General features: G+C 42.7%; 1 protein-coding gene and 1 pseudogene across 4 annotated transcripts, besides 1 other annotated feature; one reads left to right on the forward strand and one right to left on the reverse strand.

Moving 5' to 3' along the window:
- ZNF284 (zinc finger protein 284) lies at window positions 4,156-21,610 on the forward strand. Of its 4 annotated transcripts, XM_011526908.4 has the most exons (6): window positions 4,156-4,288; window positions 6,519-6,612; window positions 8,319-8,401; window positions 13,012-13,138; window positions 14,010-14,102; window positions 17,711-21,610. In XM_011526908.4, the coding sequence occupies exons 3-6, from the start codon at window positions 8,387-8,389 to the stop codon at window positions 19,255-19,257; spliced, it is 1,782 nt and encodes a 593-aa protein (XP_011525210.1). In that variant the 5' UTR covers window positions 4,156-4,288; window positions 6,519-6,612; window positions 8,319-8,386; the 3' UTR covers window positions 19,258-21,610. The 4 variants fall into 4 exon arrangements, with proteins under 4 accessions (XP_011525210.1, XP_024307254.1, XP_011525209.1 ...); XM_024451486.2 differs by lacking the exon at window positions 6,519-6,612 and having other exon boundaries at window positions 4,156-4,592; XM_011526907.4 differs by lacking the exon at window positions 6,519-6,612 and having other exon boundaries at window positions 4,156-4,322.
- Window positions 17,210-17,300, reverse strand: RNU6-902P (RNA, U6 small nuclear 902, pseudogene; annotated as a pseudogene).
- Window positions 26,168-26,277: an enhancer, noted in NCBI's record as "active region_14752". NCBI's record gives its function as "activates an Ori minimal core promoter by ATAC-STARR-seq in GM12878 lymphoblastoid cells {active_cell/tissue: GM12878}" and the evidence as "EXISTENCE:reporter gene assay evidence [ECO:0000049][PMID:35858748]".

Raw genomic sequence — 26,357 nt, forward strand, 5'->3', positions numbered from 1 at the left:
TCTGTGTTTCTGGAATTTTTTTTTTGAGTGTACATACATAGTGTGTTACAATTATATTCTTATTTTCTTCAGCAGTGAATATTTGCTGGTATTTTTCTATTTTATAATTGTATGCATTATTTTTAGATTTCTCAGTGAACATCAGAAACCCCATCTCTACAAGAAATACAATAATTAGCCAGTTGTGTTGGTGTATGTCTGTAGTCCCAGCTGGAGACTACTGGAGAGGCTGAAGTGGGAGGATCGCTTCAACCCAGGAGGCAGATATATATACAAATGGAATAGAAGTGAGAGTCCATAAAGAAACCCATACATCTAAGGCCACTTGATTTTCAAGAAGGATCCAAGATTACTTTATGGAGACAGAATAGTCTCTTCGACCAATACTGCTGGGACACCTATACACAGACACACAACATAATGAAGTTAGATTGTACCTCACCCTACACTTAAAAGTTAACTCAAAATTCATCAGTGACCTAATGTAACAGCTAAACTATAAAAGTATTAGAAGAAAACATAGAAGTAAATCTTCCTGACTTTATTTGGAATGGATTCTTCAATGAAACAACATAAGCAAAAGCAAATATAAATACCTAAATGGGACCTAGGTTTTAAAAAATGCTGTGCATACATGGACATTGTCATGAACATGAAAAGACCATACAGCATGAGTTCTACTATCCAGATTATATAAAGAATTCTTACAACTCAATAACAGAAACCACTCAATTAAAAAAATGGGCAAAGGGCTGGGTGCAGTGTCATGCCTGTAATTCCAGCACTTTGGGAGGCTGAGGTGGGCAGTTTACTTGAGGCCAGGAGTTCAAGACCAGCCTGGCCAACATGGTGAAAGTCTGTCTTTACTAAAAATACAACTAGCTGGATGTGGTGGCCTCCTGGGCTCAAACCATCCTTCCACCTCAGCCTCTTGAGCAGCTGAGACTACAGGCGTGCACCACAGCCTCTGGTTAAGTTTTGTATTTTTTTATAGAGATGAGGTTCCTCCATGTTGCCCAGGCTGGTCTCGAACTACTGCACTCAAGTAATCTGCCCACCTCAGCCTCCCAAAGTGCTGGGATTACAGGCATGAGCCACTGCACTCAGCCTAAAAAAAAAAAATCCTAATTTTTATGGGTACACATATGGAGTATATATGTTGATACAGGCATACAATGCATAATAATCATATCAGGGTAAATGGGGTATCTGTTACCACAAGCATTTATCAGATTTTTGTGTGTGTTAGAAACAATCCGTACTCGTTTAGTTATTTCAAATGTACAATAAATTATTATTGACTGTAACTCTGTTGTGCTATCAAATACCAGATCTTATTCATTCTATCTAAGCATAGTTTTGTACCCACTAACCATCCCCACTTCCCTCACCACCAACCTTAACTTTCCCTCCCTCTGGTAACCAACATTCTGCTCTCTGTCTCCATGCATTCAATTGTTTTAATTTTTAGCTCCTACAAATAAGTGAGAAGATGTGAAGTTTGTCTTTCTGTGCCTGACTTATTTCACTGAATGTAATGTCCTTCCAATTCCATCCATATTGTTGCAAATAACAAAATCTCATTCTTTTTGTGGCTGAATAGTACTCCATTGTGTATATGTCCATTTCCTGTATCCATTCACCTGTTGATGCATACTTAGGTTGCTTCCAAATTTTGGTTATTGTGAATAGTGCTGCAATAAACATTGCAGGGGAGGGTGCAGATATCACTTTGATATAGTTTTAATTTTTTGAGGAACCTCCATACTGTTCTCCGCAGTGGTTCTACTAATTTACATTCCCACCAACAATGTGCGAGGATTCCCTCCTTCACTCCTTCCACATCCTCACCAACATTTGATATTGCCTGTCTTTTGAATAAAAGCTATTTTAACTGGAGTGGGATATCTCATGGTAGTTTTGATTTGTATTTATCTGATGATCTATGATGTAGAGCACCTTTTCATATACCTGTTTGCCATTTGTATGCCCTCTTTTGAGAAATGTCTATTCAGATATTTTGCTCATTTTAAAATTGATTTATTAAATTTTTTCCTATTTGGTTTGAGCTTCTTATATTCTGGTTATTAATCCCTTGTCAGATGGATAGTTTGCAAATATTTTCTCCTATTGTGTGGGTTGTCTCTTCACTTTGTTGATTGCTTCCTTTGCTGTGCAGAAGCTTCTTAACTTGACGTGATCCCATTTGTCCATTTTTGCTTTGGTTGTCTATGCTTTTGGGGTATTACTCAAGAAATCTTTGCCCAGACCAATGTCCTGGAACATTTCCCCAATGTTTTCTTGTAGTAGTTTCATAGTTCGAGGTTTTAGATTTAAGTCTTTAATCCATTTCGATTTTATTTTTGTATATGGTGAACAACAGGGTTGAAGTTTCATTCTTCTATATGTGGATATCATGTTTTTCTAGCACCATTTATTGAAGAGACTGTCCTTTTCCCAATATATATACTTAGCACCTTTGTTGAAAATGAGCTCACTGTAGGTGTAGAAATTTATTTCTGGATTTTCTAGTTTACGCAGCACTAAAAAGAATGTACTGTACATGAAGTGATTTCTAGGATATGTTGTTACATGACCATAGAAGAGTTAGAAACGTGCTTTCTTTTAAGTAATAATGGAAAATAAGAAATCTACACATACTGATACGGTTTGGCTGTGTCTCCACCCAAATCTCATCTTGAATTATAGCTCCCATAATTCCCACATATCATGAAAGGGACCTAGTAGGAGGTAATTGAATCATGGGAGTGGGTCTTTCCCATGCTGTTCTCGTGATAGCAAGGACAGATAGAGGAGTGACTTTGAATAGAATGGGAGGCAGGTTTGCCCTAAGCGATTTCCAGCTTGAGATTTCCTTAGTGATTTTGGGGGCCCAAGATATTTTCCTTTCACAATACTAAGCAGTTTAATTTCTCTTAAATGTGGCATTTCCACGTCTAAAGAATATTAATATGAAAACTTTAAAAGTGGGAAGATAGCTTTTCCAGGAGGGCAATTGGCCCTCCATATTGGCCCTTGACAGGGCAGGAGCATCGCCATCTTGGACAAACACTGCCATTTTAAAGTTCGCGTTGATCAAAAACTGCCTAAATCCAAAGGGCATCAGCCTAATGGCTAAGGTCAGCATGACCATAAACCACAAATGACATCTCCAATCAGAAACATTCCAACCATAAGATAAACCCCTCCCTGACCAGAGACATGCCAGCACCGAGATAACCTCCCTTCCATTGGAGAGATGTCAGTCCCAAGATAACTTCCCCTCCAACCAGAGATATTCCAACCCCACAACAGACTTCTCCCCAATACAGAAACATTCTAAGCCTGTGGTAAGCTCTCTCTCCCTAAAGCCAATACATACTCTTAGTCCGTAAGAGAGAGCGCTCCTGACTGCAATCGGCCAGAAGGCCCTCTCGGTTTATTCTCCAAAACGAACCTGTCTTTGACTGTTGAGCCGCTTTTCGTGTTTTTTTTTTTTTTCTCTTTAACTCTTACAGCCCTCTTAAACACTTAAACTGTGGTTGTTTTTCTTGCCAAACCAGTGGTACAACAGTGTCTGGTTGTACCAGGGGCTGGTGCCCCACTCAATGCCTCTCCCAAACCATTTTTCCTGGCCCATTATTTAAGCTCTTAGATTTAGCCTCATACTATTAGCGTCTAGTATATTAGCCTTTCAGCCATCTCCTGACCGCTCCACAGTCACTCCCCGCTAACTCCTTGAAGATTGTATCTCCTTGCTTTGTTCTCTTTCAGTAACACTCCTGTCATCATGGGAGGCGTGTAGACTTCAGGAATTCCTGTCTATTCAATATTTTCTCTCGAGGACGCAGGGAGAGGGAAGGACCACTCTCAGGGCCACAGTCCATATTCCAAACCAGGCGCTTGGGTCTATGGGATTCATTCCTCGTGGGCATTGCAGGAAGTGTAGTCAAAGAGCACCGCGGAGTCCCACGCTTCCCGCCGGAAGGTGATACTATAGAACGTCTCCTTTGAGATTCAAGGAAGTGTAGCGCAGGAGATCTGTTGAATGACGAGCAAGTAGGCTCAGGACGGCGTATCCGGGGAATTCTGGGAAATGTAGTTCACACGCTGCGCGGGGTAGGGGCACTTCCGCTCCCGGGGGGCGAGGTTGCTGCAGTGCATTCGGTGGTAGTTTGGTGTCAGTCCTGTGTCTTGTCGGTCCTTCTAAACGTGTCCCCTTACGATGCTGGCTCGCAACCACCTGGAAGTTGACTAAGGGGAGAAGGAGTCTCGTTGGAAAACGGAGGTTTGGAGGGACAACGGCCTCTCTTTTCGTTCTTGTCAGCGGAGCCTTCTTGGTCTTGGGGCTGTCCTCGCGTCCCCGGGCATGAGGCTGGGGGTTGGGACTTGGTCGGGACGCGTCTCGCCTGGTTTGAGGGTTTTTGGGGCTCTCAGCTCGCTCAGTCCGCCTCCCTCCATCCCACCTGTGAGGCTACTTTCTCACAATTTAGGGTTGGGATGTTATTAATCTCCCTGTACCTCCCACTGCTGTTCTTTAAAATGGGGACTTTAGGACCATCCTAATGAAATCGTTTTGGGAACTGGAAGAGGTAACACAAATGAAAGCCTTAAAGCAGCCCCTCCCTTAGTGACTGGTGGTCTCTTCTTAGTGTTTATTTCCCACGAAGCCTGTCAGGTCCCCGGGTGGGGTCAGAGCTCCATCTGCAGGGATCCCCGCCCTTGTCTCTGATTCCTGCAGGACGCTGGGTGATCCCGGACGCTTCTGACCTCTTTTTAGGAAGGCGAGGGTTGTTTCCATTTCCACGAAGGGAGAGGAACATTTAACTTTTATGCCGGACGGCAATGCGGTCAGGGTGTTTCACAGCTTTCTCCTTCCCCAGCCTGATTCTCAAAAAGAGCTGCAGGGAGGGACTTCTTGGCTACTGAGGGCAAAGTTCCACGAGAGTGGTCCTTGGCTTTTTTTCTTTTACAGAGATGCTCACCCCGACCAAGAGTGTAGGATGTGTCCTCAGGCATGGGTGTTGATAATAATTAAGCCTCAATTGGTAACTTTATCCCAAGAGCTTTATACAAGTAGTCACATTTTCGCCACACCGTGGCTCTGTGGAGAGGTACTACTTTTTTCAGTTTTAAAGATGAGTGAGATACAAAGGAGCAGGAGTTATCTGAGAATAGTCACCTAAGCAGTAAGAGGTGGAGCTGCGGTTGAAACCTGGGCGTTACAGGTCAGAGCCTTAGTTGATAATCTTTTGGATACATTCTCATTGAGGCAGAGGAACTAGCTGGAATCTAGTGGGGAAAGCAAGCTAGGACTTGATTGAAGGGAGCCTTGAGAGCAAGGCTTATGGGCTTGGACTGTTCTGGGAGTTTATCAACTATTTCATTCATTAGAACTATTTCATTTATTACAAATATTTCACTTGTTATGCAGCGGTATGATTGTGGAGCGTTCAGAAATTGGAGAAATACGAGTAGTACAAGTTTATAATTACCCATGAATCCAGCATGTAAAGATAGTAACTGTTAAACTTCGAGTGCATTTTTTTTTTTTTTTTGAGACAGAGTCTCACTGTGTTGCCCAGGCTGGAGTGCAGTGGCACGATCTCGGCTCACTGCTAACTCCGCCTCCCAGGTTCACGCCATTCTCCTGCCTCAGCCTCCTGTGTGAGTAGCTGGGACCACAGGCGCCCGCCACCACGCCCGGCTAATTTTTTTGTAGTTTTAGTAGAGATGAGGTTTCACCGTGTTAGCCAGGATGGTCTTGATCTCCTGACCTCATGATCCACCAGCCTCGGCCTCCCAAAGTGCTGGGATTACAGGCGTGAGCCACCGCACCCGGTGCATTTCTTTTTGGTCTTTCTTTGGCATATTTGCATATTTATTTATAAACATTTAAACAAAATTTTATGATTAAAAAAATGTGTTTTCCCTTATGTGTTTAACTATGGAAATTTGGAAACACTGCCAAGAGGGAAATAGCTAGTGAACTTACATGTTATATCATGCTCATCCTAATTTATCTCATCGTTATCTCATTTTTTTTTTGGTAAATGTTTCCTGATATTGGCCGGGCATGGTGGCTCACGCCTGTAATCCCAGCACTTTGGGAGGCCGAGGTGGGCGGATCACCTGAGGTCGGGAGTTTGAGACCAGCCTGACCATCATGGAGAAACTCCATCTCTACTAAAAATACAAAATTAGCCAGACATGGTGACGCATGCCTGTAATCCCAGCTACTCGGGAGGCTGAGGCAGGAGAATCGCTTGAACCCGGGAGGCGGAGGTTGCAGTGAGCCAAGATTGCACCATTATACTCCAGCCTGGGCAACAAGAGCGAAACTGCATCCTCTGCCTCCCGGTCTCAAAAAAAAAAAATATTTAACGTTTTATTTTCATATCATTTGAAACCTATAGAAAAATTGCAAAAATAGTGTTAGAAATTCTCATATACTCTTTACCCAAATTTGCCAAATGTTTACATTTTTCCTGTTTGCTTTGTTCTTGCTGATCACCCAGATACCACCAGGAACATACCTGTAGCCAGAGACAGTTGCTTGTAGCTTTCTGCAGCAAAGAAGCCCACATTTCAAGATAATTGTGGGGTGTCTTGGTAAGAGGTGTTTAGAAAGGGCTGGTTATAGGGTTTCACATAACATGCTAGATACTATTAGATATTATACTGGCTAGGCATGGTGGCTTATGTCTGTAATTGTAGCACTTTGGGAGGCCGAGGCAGGTGGATCACTTGAGGCCAGGAGTTCAAGACCAGCCTGGCCAACATGGAGAAACCCCATCTCTACTAAAAATACAAAAATTAGCTGATTTGTCCACTGTGAAGTTACTTTTTTAAAATTTGAGGGGGCGTGCGCCTGTAATCCCAGCTATTAGGGAGGCTGACGCATAAGAATCATTTGAACCTGGGAGGCAGAGGCTGCAGTGAGCTGAGATGGCGCCCCTGCACTCTGATCTGGATGACAGAGTGAGACTCTGTCTCAAAAAAATAATTAAATATTATATTAAATAATATTGTTATCTATTACATATCACATCTGTTAAAAAGCTAATAATAGTAGTTGTAGTGTCATTTATTAGATAGTGTTGGATACCATATTACATAACGTTGTTATCTAATCTGCAGCTTCCATATTTAAATTTATTCAGTTTCTTCTTTTGGTCCTTATAACTATCCCTTGCCCCACTTTTTACCTGTAACCCCATTCAAAGTCCAATTTTATGCATTGTCTTTATTGTCACATTTCTATACTTTTGTTTAATCTAGAAGGATTCCACAGCCTTTGTCTTTTATATGCATGGTTTTTTGAAGAGTATAGGCAAGTTGTTTTGCAGAAAGACATTCATTTGGGGTTTGTCTGGTAAATTTCATGTTTACGTTTAGAGTATGCATGATTGGCAGGGATACCATAGTAGTGGTGAGATGTCCTTTTCATTGCAACCTAACAGTGTCCAAATGATGTTGGTTTGTCCCTTCACTGGTGATCTCAACTTTGTTCACTTGGCCAAGATGAAGTCTTTCAGATTTGTCCACTGTGAAGTTACTTTTTTTAAATTTTGAAAATAATAAAGTTCCTTATGGGGAGATACATGATTAGTGGACATTCTACTGTAAAGAAGAGTTTCCATTTCTCCCCCATTTATTCATTCCTTCATTCAACTATAAATATTCTATTGATATGGACTCAGAATTCAGTCTTACTGATTTCAATGACATGTAGATTAACAATTATTTTTTCCAATTCTATCAAGATGTATTTCACATATAGCTTTCACCCATTTCAGGCATGGAACTCCGTGATTTTTAGGAATTTTGTGAAGTGGAATAACCATGATCATGATTCAGTTTAGATCATTTTTATCTCCCAGTTGGACTCCTTGTGCCCATTTATAGTTAAACCTCATTCTCATCTCAAATGTGAAGCAACCACTAATCTACTTTCTCTATGATACATTTGCCTATTCTGAACATTTCATATAAATGCGATCACACAGTCCATGGGTTTTTGTGACTGCCTTCTTTCATTTAACATAATGTTTCCAGGGTTCATGCATGTTGTAGCATGAGTCAATATTTCATTTCTTTAAATTTCCAAGTAAGATTTCATTGTATGGATAGGCGACAATTTGTCCATTTACCCATAGGAAGGCATTTTGGTTGTGTGCAATTTTGGGTTATTATGAATAATGCCCCTGTGAACATTCAAGTGCTAATTCACAACACATGTTCATACTGTTGGGTGGCATCACTGACCACCCCTTCATGTCTCTTTTTTTTTTTTTGCCTTCCATGGCATGTTTCAGGCACAATTCTGTCTTCTCTTGAACTGCATAACTGAGAACTCTGCAAATTCCCCAAAGAAGGAGGAAAAATGACCATGTTCAAGGTGAGTAAGTCTGGTCTCTTTTGCTGTTCAGATTCTGTTTTGCTACTTAAGATTGTCACATGTTTTTCTCGGTCTTGGGAAGACTCAAGGAGAACAACAGTTATTTGTGCACCTGTTGTGTGCCAGATGCTTCCTTGTTTCTTTTGTGTTGAATTTGCGTTTGGATTTGATTTTGTTTACTTTTACCATTATTTATGTTATGAGTAGAAATTTAGTGGGAAGGAACAATTCTCCCATTTCACTACATCTTTTCTCACTAATTAGGCATTTTTATTTTCTCATGCTATTCCTCATGTATATTCATAACTGTATTTGTATTGATACTTATCTAATTTAAATTGTGTTCTTTGTGTTTAATATTATGTAATATTCATTATTTATGGTTGCATCATGTTCCCATTGAATTGATGCTCCTTTTTTTTTTTTTTTCCTCGAGACAGAGCCTTGCTCTGTTGCCCAGACTGGAGTGTGGTGGCGCAATCTCGGCTCACTGCAACCTCCGCCTCCCGGGTTCAAGCGATTCTCCTGCCCCAGCCTCTCAAGTAGCTGGGATTACAGGCGCTCACCACCACACTTGGCTAATATATGTATTTTTAGTAGAGACGGGGTTTCACCATGTTGGCCAGGCTGGTCTTGAACTCCCGGCCTCAAGTGGTCTGCCTGCCTCAGCCTCCCAAAGTGCTGGGATTACAGGTGTGCACCACTGCACCTGCCGATGTTTCTTTTTAACTACTTTATACTCACAGGCACTAGGAGCTCAGTTTTGAAAGAGTACTTTTGACATGTGCCACGTTGGTTGTTTTGTAGATAAAATATCCATATGTGGCATGGCACAGCAGGCTGTAACTGTGGCTTCACACAAGGATTTCTGGAGATTTTCACATAGGAAGAGCTAGCTTTTGTTTTCCCCATGCTTAAGTCATGCATTGTGTGTATGTTATTTACTGGTCTTTTCTTATTCCTTTATGTATTAAGGAGTTTGACCAAAATGCAGCATCCTGGGCTGCACATATATCGGTTTCGGTGAATCTTGCCAGTTGCTCCAGCAACATTTAGCAATTCAGTCTCAACTTTGTTTGATAATGCCCAGGGTTCTCGTACTTGAACCCTGGATGTAATCATTTTTCTGTCTTTTTTTTTTTTTTTTTTTTTTTTAGTTTTTTAGTTTTGGTAGCTTTAGTTTCAAATGTCCATGATATCAGAAGATTCTCTAGTCACTGTGTTCTATTCCTTTGTTTGTTCCTCAGAACAGCTGAATGATGCAGTTCTCAGCCTCATCTTCCTCTTAAATATGTGAAATATGAGAAACCTGCTGAGGTTCAGAGAGGAAACCTAGGGTCGGCATGTTAGCTATTTTGCTAAATTGAAAGAGAGAGAGAAGAAGAAAGAGGATTCTCCATTGAAGGACCTATGCCTTCTGGTATGGGTGTCTGGAGTGCCCTCTTGAGTGATGACAACCACTGGTGACATAGCTCCTCCCTGACCCCTCCTCGGGGGTCCTCTTCTCTTCCTGTTGTGCCACCTCCTCAGGTGCACCTAGTACTCCAGGCACCAAAGGACAGTGATTGCTACACTCACTATAGAAAATCTTTAAATTCCTAATGGCAAAGATGGCTTATAGAGTGTTACCAGGGAATATAACAGCCTAAGGTGAAAATATTTACCACTTTGATATCTAAAAAAGACATAATCCAAAATAAGAATCTTATGTACAGAATGGAGAAAAAAATTCAAAGGAATATGAATAAAGGACATTAATACATTAATTGGTAAATTTTAGAGAAGAAATAGAAGTGGCCAATACATATTTGAAAAGGTGATAGTATTATTTATATTCAAATACATGGGATTAATAAGGTGAATTCTCTCTAATGAGATTATCAAAATCACAGGAAATTTGATAATCTGCTTTTGGCTATTTTAAGAAAAACCAGGGTAATATATCCCCTTGAAAGATTTTGGAGTTTGAGAAAAAATTGAGATCTGACATATATGATCACAATTTTAAACATTCTTATTTTTTGACACTTTAATTTTCATTTGAAATTATTGTATTATAGTTTATTCTTATTCTTTAGAGACAGAGTTTTGCTCTGTTGCCTCGGATAGAGTACAGTGATGTAAGTGTAGCCCACTGCAGCCTTGAACCCCTGGGGTCCAGATCTTCCTGCCCCAGCCTCCCAAGTAGCTAGGACTACGGGCACGCACCACGATGCCTGGCTAGTTTTAAAAATTTATAAAGTTGGTGTCTTGCTGTGTTGCCTGGTCTGGTCTTGAACTCTTGAATTCAAGCAATCCCCCCACCTTAGCCTCTTAAAGCACTGGGATTACAGGTGTGAATCACTGCACCTGGTTTGAAATTATTAAATTAAACTAAATTATTATTTTATTTTATTTCTTTTTTGAAATAGAGTCTTGCTGTGTTGCCCAGGCTGGAGTGCAGTGGCGCAATCTTGGCTCACTACAACCTCCGCCTCCTGGGTTCAAACGATTCTTCTGTATCAGCCTCCCAAGTGTCTGGGATTATAGTCACGTGCCACCATGCTCGGCTAATTTTTGTATATTTTGTAGAGACGGAGTTTTGCTATGTTGCCAAGGCTGGTCTCGAACTCCAGAGGTCAAATGATTTGCTTGTCTCGGCCTCCAAAAGTGCTGGGATTACAGGCATGAGCCACCATACCTGGCCAAAATTATTTTCAATGATCAGACGGGAGAGTAAGGTCCACATACATGATTTTCTTTGCAGGATTGGTATTAATGAAAACTACATAAAATTAAATATTCATTATTTAGAATAAAGATAGATCATCAGTTCCCTGTAATAGTATGCAGACATGAAATGAAATAGATAACTATAATGAAAGTTATAATAAAAAATCCAAAGAAATACGAATAAAGGACATTACCAGCCAGGTGCGGTGGCTCACGCCCATATTCCCAGCACTTTGCGGGGCTGAGGTGGGCAGATCACCTGAGGTCGGGAGTTTGAGACCAGCCTGACCAACATGGAGAAACCCCATCTCCACCGGGTGTGGTGGCTCATGCCTGTAATCCCAGCACTTTGGGAGGCCAAGGCAGGCGGATCACGAGGTGAGGAGATCGAGACCATCCTGGCTAACATGATGCAACCCTGTCTCTACTAAAAATACAAAACATTAGCCGGGTGTGGTGGTGGGCGCCTGTAGTCCCAGCTACTCGGGAGGCTGAGGCAGGAGAATGGTGTGAACCCAGGAGGCGGAGCTTGCGTTAGCTGAGATTGCACCACTGCACTCCAGCCTGGGGACAGAGTGAGACTCCATCTCAAAAAAAACAAAACAAAACAAAACAAAAAACAGCAAAAAAAGAGAAACCCCATCTCTACTAAAAATACAAAACTAGCTGGGCATGGTGGCGCATGCTTGTAATCCCAGCTATTCAGGAGGCTGGGGCAGGAGAATTGCTTGAACTGGGGAGGTGGAGGTTGCCGTGAGCTGAGTTTGCGCCATTGCACTCCAGCCTGGGCAACAAGAGCGAAACTCCGTCTCAAAAAAAAGACAAAAAGGTAATAAAATTAACTAATGTTAATTAAATACCTAGTCTGTGCCACAGACTTTCCCCATTTATATTCTCTTGCTTATTCCTGGAGAAAACTGATGTGACAGTCTTTATACAGAAAGGAAACGAATGCATGTAGGCAAACTTATCCAAGGTCACGTGGCTGGGAAGGCAAAGGCACAGAGCCTTGGGATTGAGCCTTGTGAGTGAGCACACACACTCAGTGTGATCATAGGCACACTGGCTCCAGATCATGACATTCAGTGCTGCAATTAATATATGTAGTTTGCGTCTTGAATACAGAGGACCCACTCCATGGCTGTCCCACACAGGTCACTGTAAACTTGTTAGTTTGGCAGATATTAAAAAAAAAATGGGCCGGGTGTGGTGGCTCATGCCTGTAATCCCAGCGCTTTGGGAGGCCGAGGCCGGCAAATCGCCTGAGGTCGGGAGTTCGTGACCAGCCTGGCCAACATGGTCTCTACTAAAAATACAAAATTAGCTGGGCATGGTGGCAGGTGCCTATAATCCCAGCTATTCAGGAGGCTGAGGCAGGAGAATTGCTTGAATCCAGGAGGCAGGGGTTGCAGTGAGCTGAAATCGCACCACTGCACTCCAGCCTGGGCGACAGAGTGAGACTCTGTCTCAAAAAATAAAAAGAAAGAAAGAAAAATGATTACATCCAGGGTTCAAGTACGAGAACCCTGGGCATTGTCAAACAAAGTTAAGACTGAATTGCTAAATGTTGCTGGAGCAACTGGCAAGATTCATTGAAACCTATATATGTGCAGCCCAGGATGCTGCATTTAGAGTCCTAGAGGGTTACTTACAAGGAGACTTAATAAGTGCACAAAGTAAACCTATGGGACTTTTTCATCATTGCACTTCTGGTGGAGCTCTGGAAAATCAGTGTCATTGCGAGGATACAGACAGAATGAATGGGAAATCTGTATGTTGACCTACATCTTTCAAGATCCACAGCAACTTCTCACCCATCCCCTTCACCTGCTCATTGCCACCCTTCTCCCAGGAATCACTGGTCATGAGATTGAGATTGCATACGTTTGTTGTTGTAGGAGGCAGTGACCTTCAAGGATGTGGCTGTGGTCTTCACCGAGGAGGAGCTGGGGCTGCTGGACGTTTCCCAGAGGAAGCTGTATCGAGATGTCATGCTGGAGAACTTCAGAAACCTGCTATCAGTGGGTGAGCACAGGCACCCTCTGTAATGGAACATCAGGCCCCAGGAATGGCTTTGTATCCTAGGGTGTTTGTGTTAGTTTGTTCTTATGCTGCTATGAAGAAATACCCAAGACTGGGTAATTTATAAAGAAAAGACATTTCATTGACTCACAGTTCTGCATGGCTGGTAAAGCCTCAGGAAACTTACAGTCATGGTGGAAAGCCGATGGGAAGAAAGGCACCTTTTTCATATTGCAGCAGGAAGAAGTGCCGAGCAAAGGGGAAAAGGCCCCTTATAAAACCATCAGATAGGGCCGGGCGCGGTGGCTCATGCCTGTAATCCCAGCACTTTGGGAGGCCAAGGAGGGCAGATCACGAGGTTGGGAGATGGAGACCATTCTGGCTAACACGGTGAAACCCCGTCTCTACTAAAAATACAAAAAAAATTGCCGGGCGTGGTGGCGGGCGTCTGTAGTCCCAGCTACTCAGGAGGCTGAGGCGGGTAAATGGCGTGAACCTGGGAGGCGGAGCTTGCAGTGAGCCGAGATCGCATCACTGCACTCCAGCCTGGGCGACAGAGCGAGACTCCGTCTCAAAAAAAAACAAAAACAAAAACAAAAACAAAAAACATAAATAAAATAAAACCATCAGATCTCGTGAGAACTCATCCACTATCACGAGAACAGCATGGAGGAAACTGCCCCCATGATTTAATTACCTCCCACCAGCTCCCTCTTATGACATGTGGGGATTATGGGAACTACAATTCAAGATGAGATTTGGGGACACCGCCAAACCATATCAGTGTTCAAGTTCGAGTGTGCAGTGAGAACCTAAATTTCTAGTAAATTTTACCTAAGATGTATTGGGATTAAGCATGTGACTTTGTTCACAGGGCATCAACTTTCCCACCGAGATACTTTTCACTTCCAAAGAGAAGAAAAGTTTTGGATCATGGAGACAGCAACCCAAAGAGAAGGGAATTCAGGTAAGAACCAAGCAACGATGCATCCTTGTACGTGACCCTTCCATCTGTTTTACTTCTGTCCATTGCCCAACTCCATTGCCCTGGTATAAATGGCCAAACCTGTTTCCTGGATTCTTACCTCCTTCCTGCTGGTTGTCCTGCTCCCCCACCCCCTCTTCCCACCCTGACATCTGTTTTCCTCATAGCAGCCAAAGTGATCCTTAGGGAATGTAAGTCAGATTGCCATTCCTCAGCTTAAAAGCCTTTATGGCTTCTTATTTGTGTTAATGTTACAACTGCTTTAAGTGCCTTTTAGAGACCCTTGATCTGCTCTTCATCCCCTACTGCCTCTCTGACTACATCTCCATTTTCCAGCCACGTTGTACTCCCTGCTGTTTCTCCATCCTGCCAAGGACACTGTATTGCCTGTTGCTGTCACCCAGTGACCACACACTTAGCAGATTAAACAACAAACAATTATCTTTCTGTTCTTCAGATCTGAAGTCTGACACATCTCACTGGACAAAAATCAGGGTGTCCCTAGGGCTTTGTTCCTGTCTAGATGTTCTTGGGGAGAAGCCTTCACTTTAATTTACCAATCCCTAGGCACTGTCCACACTCCTTGGCTCTTGTCTCCCTTCCTCCATCTTCAAAAGCAGCTACATTGCATCTCTAACCATTCTTCCATAGTCATCTGCCACCCTTCTTAAGCCTCTGTTTTCCACATTTTGGGTCCCTTGCGATTGGATTGGTCACTCCTGCATAATCTAGAATGACCTTCTTACTCTCTCTTTAGCTGACTAGTGACCTTAATTGCATCTGCAGCCTTAATATCTCTTGCTATATAACATAACAGGTTCATAGGTCCTGGGAATTGGATGTGGACATCTTTCAAGGACCATTGTTCTGTCTACTACAGAAGCTTCTGTCTTAGAGTTTATATATGCTCTTCTTTCTGATTGGAATACTCTTTCACCTCAAGACCTTCTGACCCTTCCTTTATTCTGGTCTCTGTTCAGTTTTAATATCATGAGAAAGGCCTTCTCTGACCACTCTATTTAAAATACCAGCCGGGCGTGGTGGCTCATGCCTGTAATCCCAGCACTTTGGGAGGCTGAGGCAGGCAGATAGCATGAGGCCAGGAGTTTGAGACCAGCCTGGCCAGCATGGCAAAACCTGACTCTACTAAAAATATAAAAATTAGCTGGGTGTGGTAGCACAGTCCTGTAATCCCAGCTACTCGGGTGGCTGAGGCGTGAGAATCACTTGAACCCAGGAGCCAGAGGTTGTAGTGAGCTGGGATTGTGCCACTACACTCTAGCCTGGGTGACAGAATGAGACTCTGTCTCAAAAAATAAATAAAGAAATATATATATATATATATATATATAGAGAGAGAGAGAGAGAGAGAGAGAGAGGGAATGGAATACCATCCTATCTTTACCCTTCTGGTGTTGTCTTATACTGTGTCTTATATATTTCTATTTAGCTGTCATCTCTACCCACTGGAATGGAATGTCTTAAGAGGAGGACTTTTAGCTGTTCAATTTTTATTTTAAGATTCAGGGGGTACATGTGCAGGTTTGTTACCTGGGTATATTGTGTGATGCTGAGGTTTGCATTGCAAATGATCCTGTCACCCAGGTACTGAGCATAGTACCCAATAGTGGTGGCAGGATAACCCTCAGGTTTTAAGGCTATGTGTACCGGTGTTAGAGGTAGTGGTGATGGGCTGGGTGGGCCAGTCCTGAGGCCCCCACATGGTGTGTGCAGGTGAGTGTCAGCGGTGATGGTGGCAGCAGGCTTGTAGGACCTGTCCTCAGGTCACTAGGAGGAGTATACAGATGCCAGTGGTGGTGATCAGGGCAGGGAAATCCTTAGGTCTCCAGACAGCATGCTTGGGCACCTGCGGCAGGGTTCTGGGTCTGTTGTAAAGCTCCCTGCATGGTACATGCTCATGCCTGGGGCAACCAACATGGCAGGGTGATCTCAACAGCCCCAGGTGGTATGCTTAGGTAGTGGAGGAATGACGCCAGGCCAGGTGAGCCTGTCCTCAGGCCTTTCAGTGGTGCAGGCAGATGTAGGCTGTGGTGGAAGAGGCGGCGTGATCCCTAGGTCCCCAGATGGCATGCTCCAGCACTGGCAGCACACAAGCTGGGTCTTTGTCAGGTCTCCTGTTTGTGCACACATGTGCCTGAGGCAACACAGGGTAGAGCAATCCCCAGGTCCCTCTGTGTCATGCTCTGGCACTGAGATGGGCGGTACCAAGTGAAGTGGGCTTGTCCTGTGCACGGGCACAGGTTGTGGTGGGCAGTGCAAGGGACTCCCCATGCCTTTAGGAGGTGTGCTTGGGTGGCAGTGGCAGAGTGTGCAGAGAAACTTTCCTCAGAATGAGAACACATATGAGTGTACAGTGGCCCTGCTGCTGGGGGTGAGGTAGCATTGCCGTTAGAGGCAGCAGCCCCAGACAGGCAGCTTTCAAGCTCTGGTGAGTGCACACACTTTGGGTCCCTTTGTACTGTACTGGGGGCAGCCTCCCTGGTGTCCTTCACGGCCCATTCCCTAGAGTATGGGACACTATGTGGCCTAGATTGCTGGGGACTCTGCCATACTGCTGGGTCTAACAGGCATTATTGTAACCCTCTGGGTGGATGTGGGGGCATGTCCATGGGGCTTCAGGGATTTGGAGATGCAAAGGCTGTTGGGCCCCAGGGCAAGATGCAGTCTGGTGGGGGTGCAGCTCTCAAAATAGCGCTGTGCCATAGCTGCTTGAGTCTCAGGAAGTGTGTGGGTCCCATCATGAGTACCCTCTCTGAGTGCCATTGCATGGACTCCAGGTAGCCCCCTGTGCTAGTCTCAGGGCCCACAGGGGTCGAGGGCCTCTCTCATGGCTGATTGCTGGAGTGCACAGCGGAAATGTAAACCACTAGGGCTCTCTCACTTACCCTTTCCCAGCACTAGGAGCCTTTCCCGGCTTTCAGGTGATCACGGCCAGAAGGGCTACCTCCCTTCGCTCTCCTTTTGTGCTTCGGGTGTTTCCTGTCACTTCTCTGCTGAATTCCAGTGATCCCTCTTAGATGCTATTTGATGTATGAGTATCTATTTGCTTTTTAAATTTTTTAGTAATAAAATATATAGAACACTTCATGAATTTGCATATCGGCCTTGTGCAGGGGCTGATCATTCCAGTTTTACCATATGTGCTGCTGAAGTGAGCACTACTCATTATTTTGGCTCTTTGTGGAGGACGCAAGCTCTGGGTGTCTTTAGTCAGCCATCTTGAAGTCCTCCTACCCTTAACGTTCCTTCTGATTCATCACATATATAATTTAGTAGTTACATAATATACCATGCAAGATTTTAGACTAACTAGGAAATTGGTAGAAATAGTAACACATTAACTGTATTATATTAATATTTTAAATTAAGTCTTTCATTTCTACCACGTATGAGACATTATGTCATTCAAAATTGGTTTCGTGACAACGAGAGACCGTGGTGCACTTGGAAAACACAAACTGTACCTTCCTTGTATTCAGTAAAGTTTCAGGCCATGTCCTAAGTGAAATCCTGAAAACACTGAACAAAGGTTTCACTTACCCACATCTCTTAATTCTGTGTCCTTATAGGAGGCAAGATCCAAACTGAGTTGGAGTCTGTTCCAGAAACAGGACCACATGAAGAGTGGTCTTGCCAGCAAATCTGGGAACAAACTGCAAGTGAGTTAACTAGACCTCAAGACTCCATAAGTAGCTCTCAGTTCTCCACACAAGGTGATGTCCCCTCCCAGGTTGACGCAGGACTATCTATAATTCACATAGGAGAGACACCTTCTGAGCATGGGAAGTGTAAAAAATTCTTCAGTGATGTCTCCATCCTTGATCTTCATCAACAATTACACTCAGGAAAGATATCCCATACATGTAATGAGTACAGGAAGAGATTCTGTTATAGCTCAGCTCTTTGTCTTCATCAGAAAGTTCACATGGGAGAGAAACGCTATAAGTGTGATGTGTGTAGTAAGGCATTTAGTCAGAACTCACAACTGCAAACTCATCAGAGAATCCACACTGGAGAGAAACCATTCAAATGTGAGCAGTGTGGGAAAAGTTTCAGCCGTAGATCAGGAATGTATGTTCATTGCAAATTACACACAGGAGAAAAACCTCATATTTGTGAGGAATGTGGGAAGGCCTTCATTCACAATTCCCAGCTTCGGGAACATCAAAGAATCCATACTGGGGAGAAGCCATTCAAATGTTATATATGTGGTAAGAGCTTCCATAGTAGATCAAATCTTAATAGGCATTCCATGGTCCACATGCAAGAGAAATCATTTAGATGTGATACCTGTAGTAATAGCTTTGGTCAGAGATCAGCACTTAATAGTCATTGCATGGACCACACAAAAGAGAAACTATACAAATGTGAAGAATGTGGAAGGAGCTTCACTTGTAGGCAAGATCTTTGTAAGCATCAGATGGACCATACAGGAGACAAACCATATAATTGTAATGTATGTGGGAAGGGCTTCAGGTGGTCCTCATGTCTTTCAAGACATCAGCGGGTCCACAATGGAGAAACAACATTCAAGTGCGACGGATGTGGGAAGAGATTTTATATGAATTCACAGGGCCATTCACATCAGAGAGCCTATAGAGAAGAAGAACTGTATAAATGTCAGAAGTGTGGGAAGGGCTACATTAGTAAGTTTAATCTTGACTTGCACCAGAGGGTCCACACGGGAGAGAGACCTTATAATTGTAAGGAATGTGGAAAGAGCTTCAGGTGGGCCTCAGGTATTTTGAGACATAAGAGACTCCATACTGGAGAAAAACCATTCAAATGTGAAGAGTGTGGGAAGAGGTTTACTGAGAATTCAAAACTTCGTTTCCATCAAAGAATTCACACTGGAGAAAAGCCTTACAAATGTGAGGAGTGTGGAAAGGGATTCAGATGGGCCTCAACTCATCTAACCCATCAAAGACTCCACAGCAGAGAAAAACTATTCCAATGTGAGGATTGTGGGAAGAGCAGTGAGCACAGTTCATGCCTTCAAGACCAACAAAGCGACCACAGTGGAGAAAAAACATCCAAATGTGAGGACTGTGGGAAGCGCTACGAGAGGCGCTTGAATCTAGATATGATTTTATCATTATTTTTAAATGATATATAATTATTGTCCATATTTATGGGTTACAGCATATTTCAATACATGTATACAATGTATAATGATCAAATCAGTGTTATTAGCATATCCATCACCTCCTTTATCATTTATTTGTGGATCATTTATCATTTCTTTGTGCTTTGAACGTTCAAAAACTGCTGTTCTAGTTATTTGAAAATAAGTTATTATTAATTATAGTCACCTTTAGTGCTGTGGAACACTAGAACTTGTTCCTTTCATCATCTTACTGTACTTTCATATCTGTTAACGAATCTTTCATCATCCACCCTCTCTCCTACTTTTCCCTTCTAGTAATTGCTATGCCATGCTGCTTCTGCTTTTTTTTTTTTTTTTTTTTTTTTTTGAGAACAGAGTCTTCCAGGCTTGAGTGTAGTGGCATGATCCTTTCTCACTGCAGCCTCCACCTCCTGGGTTCAAGCGATTCTCCTGCCTAAACCTCCTGAGTAGCAGGGATTACAGGCACGCACCACCACGCCCAGCTAATTTTTGTACTTTTTTTTTTTTTTTTTTGAGACAGAGTATCGCTCTGTCGCCCAGTATGGAGTGCAATGGCTTGATCTCGGCTCACTGCAACCTCTGCCTCCTGGGTTCAAACGATTCTTCCCTGCCTTGGCCTCCCGAGTAGCTGGGACTACAGGCGCCCGCCACCACACCTGACTAATTGTTGTATGCGTAGTAGAGATGGGGTTTTGCCATATTGGCCAACCTGGACTTGAACTCCTGACTTCAGATGATCCGCCCACCTCGGCCTCCCAAAGTGCTGGGATTACAGGCGTGAGCCACCATGCCCACCATGCCTAAAAATTTTTGTATTTTTAGTGAAGATGGGGTTTCACCACATTGGCCAGGCTAGCCTTGAACTCCCAAACTCAAATGGTCCACCTGCCTTGGCCTCCCAAAGTGCTGGGATTACAGGCATGAGCCACCGTGCCCAGCCAATGCTATGCTGCTTCTATGATGTCAACTTTTTAGCTTCCACATATGTGTGAAAACATGTGGTATTTATCTTTCTGGGCCTGAATTTACATCACTCAACATCATGTTCTCCAAAGCTTATCTTTATCTTGCCATAAATGACAGAATTTTATTATTTTTTATGGTTAAATAGTGTACCTTTGTGTATGTATGCCACATTTTCTTTACCATTTTCTGTTGATGAACACTTAGATTGGTTCCATATGTTAGCTATTGCAAATAGTACTATAATAAATATAGGAGTGCAGATAGGAGTTCAACACACTGATTTCCTTTCCTTTGGATATACAGCTAGTAGTGGGATTGCTGGATCACTTGAATGCTGATATGCATAAGAGGATCTACACTGGAGAAAAACCATGGAAGTGTGGAGATTGTGGTACATGCTTCAGTCAGGGCTCACATCTTCAAATTCAGTGTCTGTTCTGTAGAGAAACCTTAATAATGTGATATATGTGACAGCAAAGAGTTATAAGATATGAATATGTTAATTTTAGTAGATACTTCCGAAAAGTATTTCAAACTGGTTGTACCACTATAAACTCTGACCATTATTAGGCAAGAATTGGCTTTTTTTTTTTTTTTCTTTTGAGACAGTCTTGCTCTGTCACCCAGACTGGCATGCAGTGGAATGATCACGGCTCCCTGCAGCCTTGACCTCCCAGGCTCAAGAAATCCTTCTGCCTCAGCCCCTCAAAAGCTGGGACTATAGGCATGCAACAACACGCCTGGCTAAATTTTTGTTGTAGAGATGGGGTCTCACTATGTTGCCCAAATTGGTCTCAAACTCCTGGGCTCAAGCGATTCTCCCTCCTCAGCCTTCCAAAGTGCTGGGATTACAGGCCTGAGCCATGCGCACAGCATTTTGTTTTGTTTTGTTTTGTTTTTGAGATGGGGTCTCTCGGTGTTGCCCAGGCTGGATTGCTTATTCACAGATGCAGTTACAGTGCCCTATAGCCTCGAACTCCTGGGCCTAAGTGATCCTCTTGCTTCAATCCCCTGAGAAGCTGGGACTACAGGCATGGACCACCACCCCTGATTGATCTTCTTTAGTTTCTATAACAAAATAGTACACTGTTTCCACAAACTTGGGAAGGCTAGTATTTGGGGGTGGGGGGCGTGGAAATCACTAAACAACAAAGAAAATCTGATGAATTGGACAGCATAAAAATATTGGCATAAAGATGAACATAACATAAGCAGGAATATTTAAAGCACATACTTTTTATAGAGTGTCTCCCCTGTAATGTCTCTGGTTAAATGAAAGGGTTTCAAATGTGAAGACAACCCTAACCATACTCATTATCTGTAAAAGATGTAGCATTGTCATGGACTCCTTAATAAACGTGAAGACTTTAATCCATCTGAAGGTGCATCACATTTCTGAAGTTTCCAACACTGACAAGGTGATGGGCTTATGGATGAAAACTCATGAATGGGAAAAACTCAGCTATCGTTAAAGCCCATATATTTTATTAAAGATATTGGGGCTGTCTCCTAAATCTAGTTAGTGATGAATTTCAAGTCTAGAGCCATCACCGAATCCTTGTCCACATTCATTACACATAGGTTTTCTGAGAAAATTGTCTGCTGGTTATGAGAGGTCTTCTCCCGTGCCAAAGTGAGTATAATAACCTTGCTTTTGGCCAGGTGCGGTGGCTCACACCTGTAATCCCAGCGCTTTGGGAGGCCGAGGTGGGCAGAGTGCCTGAGGTCAGGAGTTTGAGACTAGTCTGGCCAACATGGTGAAAACCCATCACTATTAAAAATACAAAACAATTAGCTGGGTGTGGTGGTGGCGTGTGCCTGTAATCCCAGCTACTCAGGAGGCTGAGGCAAGGGAATTGCTTGAACCAGGGAGGTGGAGGTTGCGGTGAGCCGAGATCACGCCACTGCACTCCAGCCTGAGTGACAGAGTGAGACTCCATCTCAAAAAAATAAAAATAAAAATAAAAGTAAACAAGCTTGCTTTCTTTTATGTGCTCCTTGATTTTGATGGTGATGTGAAATCAAACTGAAGCTGAAAATACAATAATCACATTTATACAGGGCATTTTTCAAGGAAATTTATTGATTTTTACTTTAATAATTTAGTGCCTCACTTTTGTAAGTCTCTTGTAAGTGGCCAGGCATGGTGGCTCACACCTGTAATTCCAGCACTTTGGGAGGCTGAGGCAGAAGGATCAATTGAATCTAAGAGTTTGAGACCAGCTTTTTACAGAGTGTCTCCCCTATAATGTCTCTGGTTAAATGAAAGATTTTCAACTGTGAAGACAACCCTAACCATACTCATATTCTAGTTCCTTTGCCTTTCCATATAAATTTTAGAATAATTTTATATCTACAAAATATCTTGCTGGAATTTTGATAGTAATTATTTTAACCCTGTGTATCAATTTGGGGAGAATGAACATTTTTGCTATATTGAGTCCCACGATCCTCAAACATGGAATGTGTCTCCATTCATTTAATATTGTTGGATTTTCTTCATCAGTGTGTTGTAATTTTCATCTTACAACCCTTGTACATCTTTTGTCAAACTTCCATCTAGGTATGAACTTTGATTTCCGTGTGTTCATTGCTAGTATAATATATATAAATTAATTTTGGTATCCTGATCATGTATCCTATGATCATGCTGAATTCGCTTATTGTCTAGGCATTCATGGATTGGAAGACTTCACATTTTTGTGATGACAGTACTACCCAAACCAATCTACAGTTTTACTGCAATCACTATCAAAATCCAAACAGCCTTTTTTTTTTTTGCAGAAATCAATTCATAAATTCATATGTAATTGTAATGGAGGCAAATAGACAAAATCTTTCTTTTTTAAAGGAACATGATGGATGGCTCCCACTTCATTTCGAAACTTACTACCAAGCTATAGTAATGGAATAGAATTTAGAGTCCATAAAGAAACTCATACATCTAAAGTCACTTGATTTTCAAGAAGGATCCAAGATTGCTTAATGGAGAAAGCATAGTCTCTTCAGCAAATAATGCTGGGCAAATATATATACATATGCAACATAATGAAGTTAGATCCGCACTTCACACTATACTTAAAAATTAACTCAAAATGATCAATGACCTAAATATAAGAGGTTAAGCTATACAACTCTTAGAATAAAACATAAAGGTTAATCTTCAAGACTTTTTATTTGGAATGGATTCTTAGATAAGACACCATATGCACAAGCTAAAAAAACCCCACATAAATTGGACTAGAGCAAAAAAAAAAATGCTATGCATACAGAGACATTGTCAAGAGCATGAATTCTTCTAGTATCAGAATATATAAAGAACTCTTAGACCAGGTGAGGTGGCTCTCACCTATAATCCCAGCACTTTGGAAGGCTGAGATGGGTGGATCACTTGAGCCCAGGAGTTTGAGGCCTGCCTGGGCAACATGGCGAAAACCATGTCTCTACAAGAAACAAACAAACAAACAAAAAACAACAACAAAAAACAAAGGTAGCCAGGCATAGTGACCCATGCCTGTGGTCCCAGCTACTCAGGAGGCTGAGGCAGAAGGATTGTTTGAGCCTGGGAGGTCAAGGCTGCAGTGGGGCGTGATGTACCATTGCACTCCAGCCTGGGCAACAAAGAGAGACTCTGTTTCTTAAAAAGAAAAGAAAGAAAGAACTCTTACAACTCAATAACAAGAGGAGAAACCACCCAATTTTCTAATGGGCAAAGATACAAATAGAAATTTCAGATATACAAGTTACCAACAATTATGTGAAAAGATGCTCAACTATTAGTCATTAGGAAAATGCAAATCAAACCAATAATGAGATGCCATTTTACAACAGCTATGTTAGCTATCATCTTTAAAAATAGAAAATAGCCGATGTGGTGGCAGGCACCTGCAGTCCCAGCTACTTGGGAGGCTGAAGTAGGAGGATCGCTTGAGCCCAGGAGTTTTGAGGTGTAGTGAGCTATGCCCACTGGGTGTCCACACTAAGTCGACATCAACATGGTGATCTCCCAGGAGCAGAGGACTACCAGGTTGCCTCAGGAGAGGTAAACTGGCCCAGGGTGGAAACACAGCAGGTCAGAACTCCCATGCTGATCAGTAGTGAGATGTTGTCTGTGAATAGCCACTGCAATTCTGCCTGCACAACGCAGGGAGACCCCGTTTTCAATTTATACACACACACATATACATATACATATATATTTTATACATACATATATACAAAATAAGTATTGGAGAGGATGTGGAGAAATTACTACCCTCACACACTGAAGGTGGGAATGTAAAAATGGTGCAGTTGCTGTGGAAAATTGTTTCGTGGTTCCCAACATAGAATTACCATATGAATCACTAAATTTCATATCTAGGTATATACCCCAAAGAATTGAAAGTAGGTGATGAAACAAATACTTGTACACCACTGTTTGTAGCAACACTATTGACTACAGCCAAAAGGTGGAAAGAACCCAAATGTCCCTCAATCAATGAATGGATAAACAAATTGTGGCGCAAGCCTGTAATCCCAGCACTTTGGGAGGCTGAGGTGGGCGGATCACCTGAGGTAAGGAGTTCGAGACCAGCCTGACTAACCTGGTGAAACCCTGTCTCTACTAAATACAAAAAAATTAGCTGGGTGTGGTGGCGCATGGCTGTAATGCCAGCTACTTGGGAGGCTGAGGCAGAAGAATCGTTTTAACCCAGGAGGCGGGGGTTGCAGTGAGCTGAGATCGTGCCATTGCACTCCAGCCTGGGCATCAAGAGGGAAACCCCACCTCAAAACAAAACAAGACAAAGCAAACAAAAAAAACAAATCGTAGTAGAAACATAAAATATTATGAAGTACTGGTACATGCTGTGATGTGGATGAACTTTAAAAGCAGTATGCTGGCAGGGCGCGGTGGCTCACGCCTGTAATCCCAGCACTTTGGGAGGCCGAGGCGGGAGGATCACGAGGTCAAGAGATCGAGACCATCCTGGCTAACACGGTGAAACCCCGTCTCTACTAAAAATACAGAAAAATTAGCCAGGCGTGGTGGCACGCGCCTGTAGTCCCAGCTACTCGGGAGGCTGAGACAGGAGAATCGCTTGAACCCGGGAGGCGGAGGTTGCAGTGAGCTAAGATCGTGCCACTGCACTCCAGCCTGGCACTTTTTTTGAGATTCCGTCTCAAAAAAAAAAAAAAGAAGCAGGATGCTAAGTGAAAGGTGTCAGAAACAAAAGGTTCCATAATGTATAATTCCATTTATATGAAATGTCCACAATAGGTAATTCAATAGGACAGAGATTAGTGTTAGACAGTGACTGCTTAGTGGGTATGGGGTTTTTGGGGTGATGAAAATGTTTCCTAACTTTTTATTTGTACTACATATATCCTAAAATGGTGAATTTCACGTTTTGTGCATTACACCTCAATAGAGATGTTTTAAATAATAAAATACATTAAAATGTTTTGCATAGATAAAACAATAAAAAAAAACGTTTTTGTTGAGAAAATATTTGCGAGATAAAATGTTAATATCATGAATATAAGAACAGTGCTTGAAAAGTGAGGGATAAAACCAAAAACTCAATAAGAAAGTGGGCAAAACATCTGGACAATTTACAAAAAATGTAATAATGACACCTGAAAATATGCAAGAATATGCCATCTTTACAAGAGTTATAAATTAAAACTACATGCCATTTCTTACCACTGGCAAAACTTATTTGAAGAGTGTATCATCTCGCTTGTTCCCTTTCCAGTAACACTCCTGTCCTCACTAGAGGGGTTTAGACTTCAGGAATTCCTTTCTATACGGTATTTTCTCTTAGGCACCCAGGGAGAGGGAAGGACGACTCTCAGGGTAGAAGTCCACATTTCCCAACAGGCGCTCGGGGGTACGAGATTCGTTCCCCGTGGGAAGAGTGGTCAAGGGCTTCCCAGTAGTCGTCAACACTTCCCTTTGAGTGTAATGCTGCAGGAGTACAGTCCAGACCCTCAGTGGAATCGCGGTCGGTTTAGCTCCGGCAGTTGGGTCCCAGGGAATTCTGGGAAGTGTAGTCCAGACGCTCAGTGGAGTCGCGGTCAGTTTGGCTCCGGCTGGCGGGTCCCGGGGAATTCTGGGAAGTGGAGTCCAAACATTCGGT

Source organism: Homo sapiens, chromosome 19 (genome assembly GCF_000001405.40).
Source record: "Homo sapiens chromosome 19, GRCh38.p14 Primary Assembly".
Taxonomy (NCBI): Eukaryota; Metazoa; Chordata; class Mammalia; order Primates; family Hominidae; genus Homo; species Homo sapiens.

What these genes read in the sequence shown, in the direction of transcription:
- ZNF284 (XM_024451486.2), top strand. An exon ending in CAGAAACCTGCTATCAGTGG is followed by an intron (nt 13,139 to 14,009) that starts GTGAGCACAGGC and finishes CTTTGTTCACAG; the next exon opens with GGCATCAACTTTCCCACCGA. An exon ending in CCAAAGAGAAGGGAATTCAG is followed by an intron (nt 14,103 to 17,710) that starts GTAAGAACCAAG and finishes GTGTCCTTATAG; the next exon opens with GAGGCAAGATCCAAACTGAG.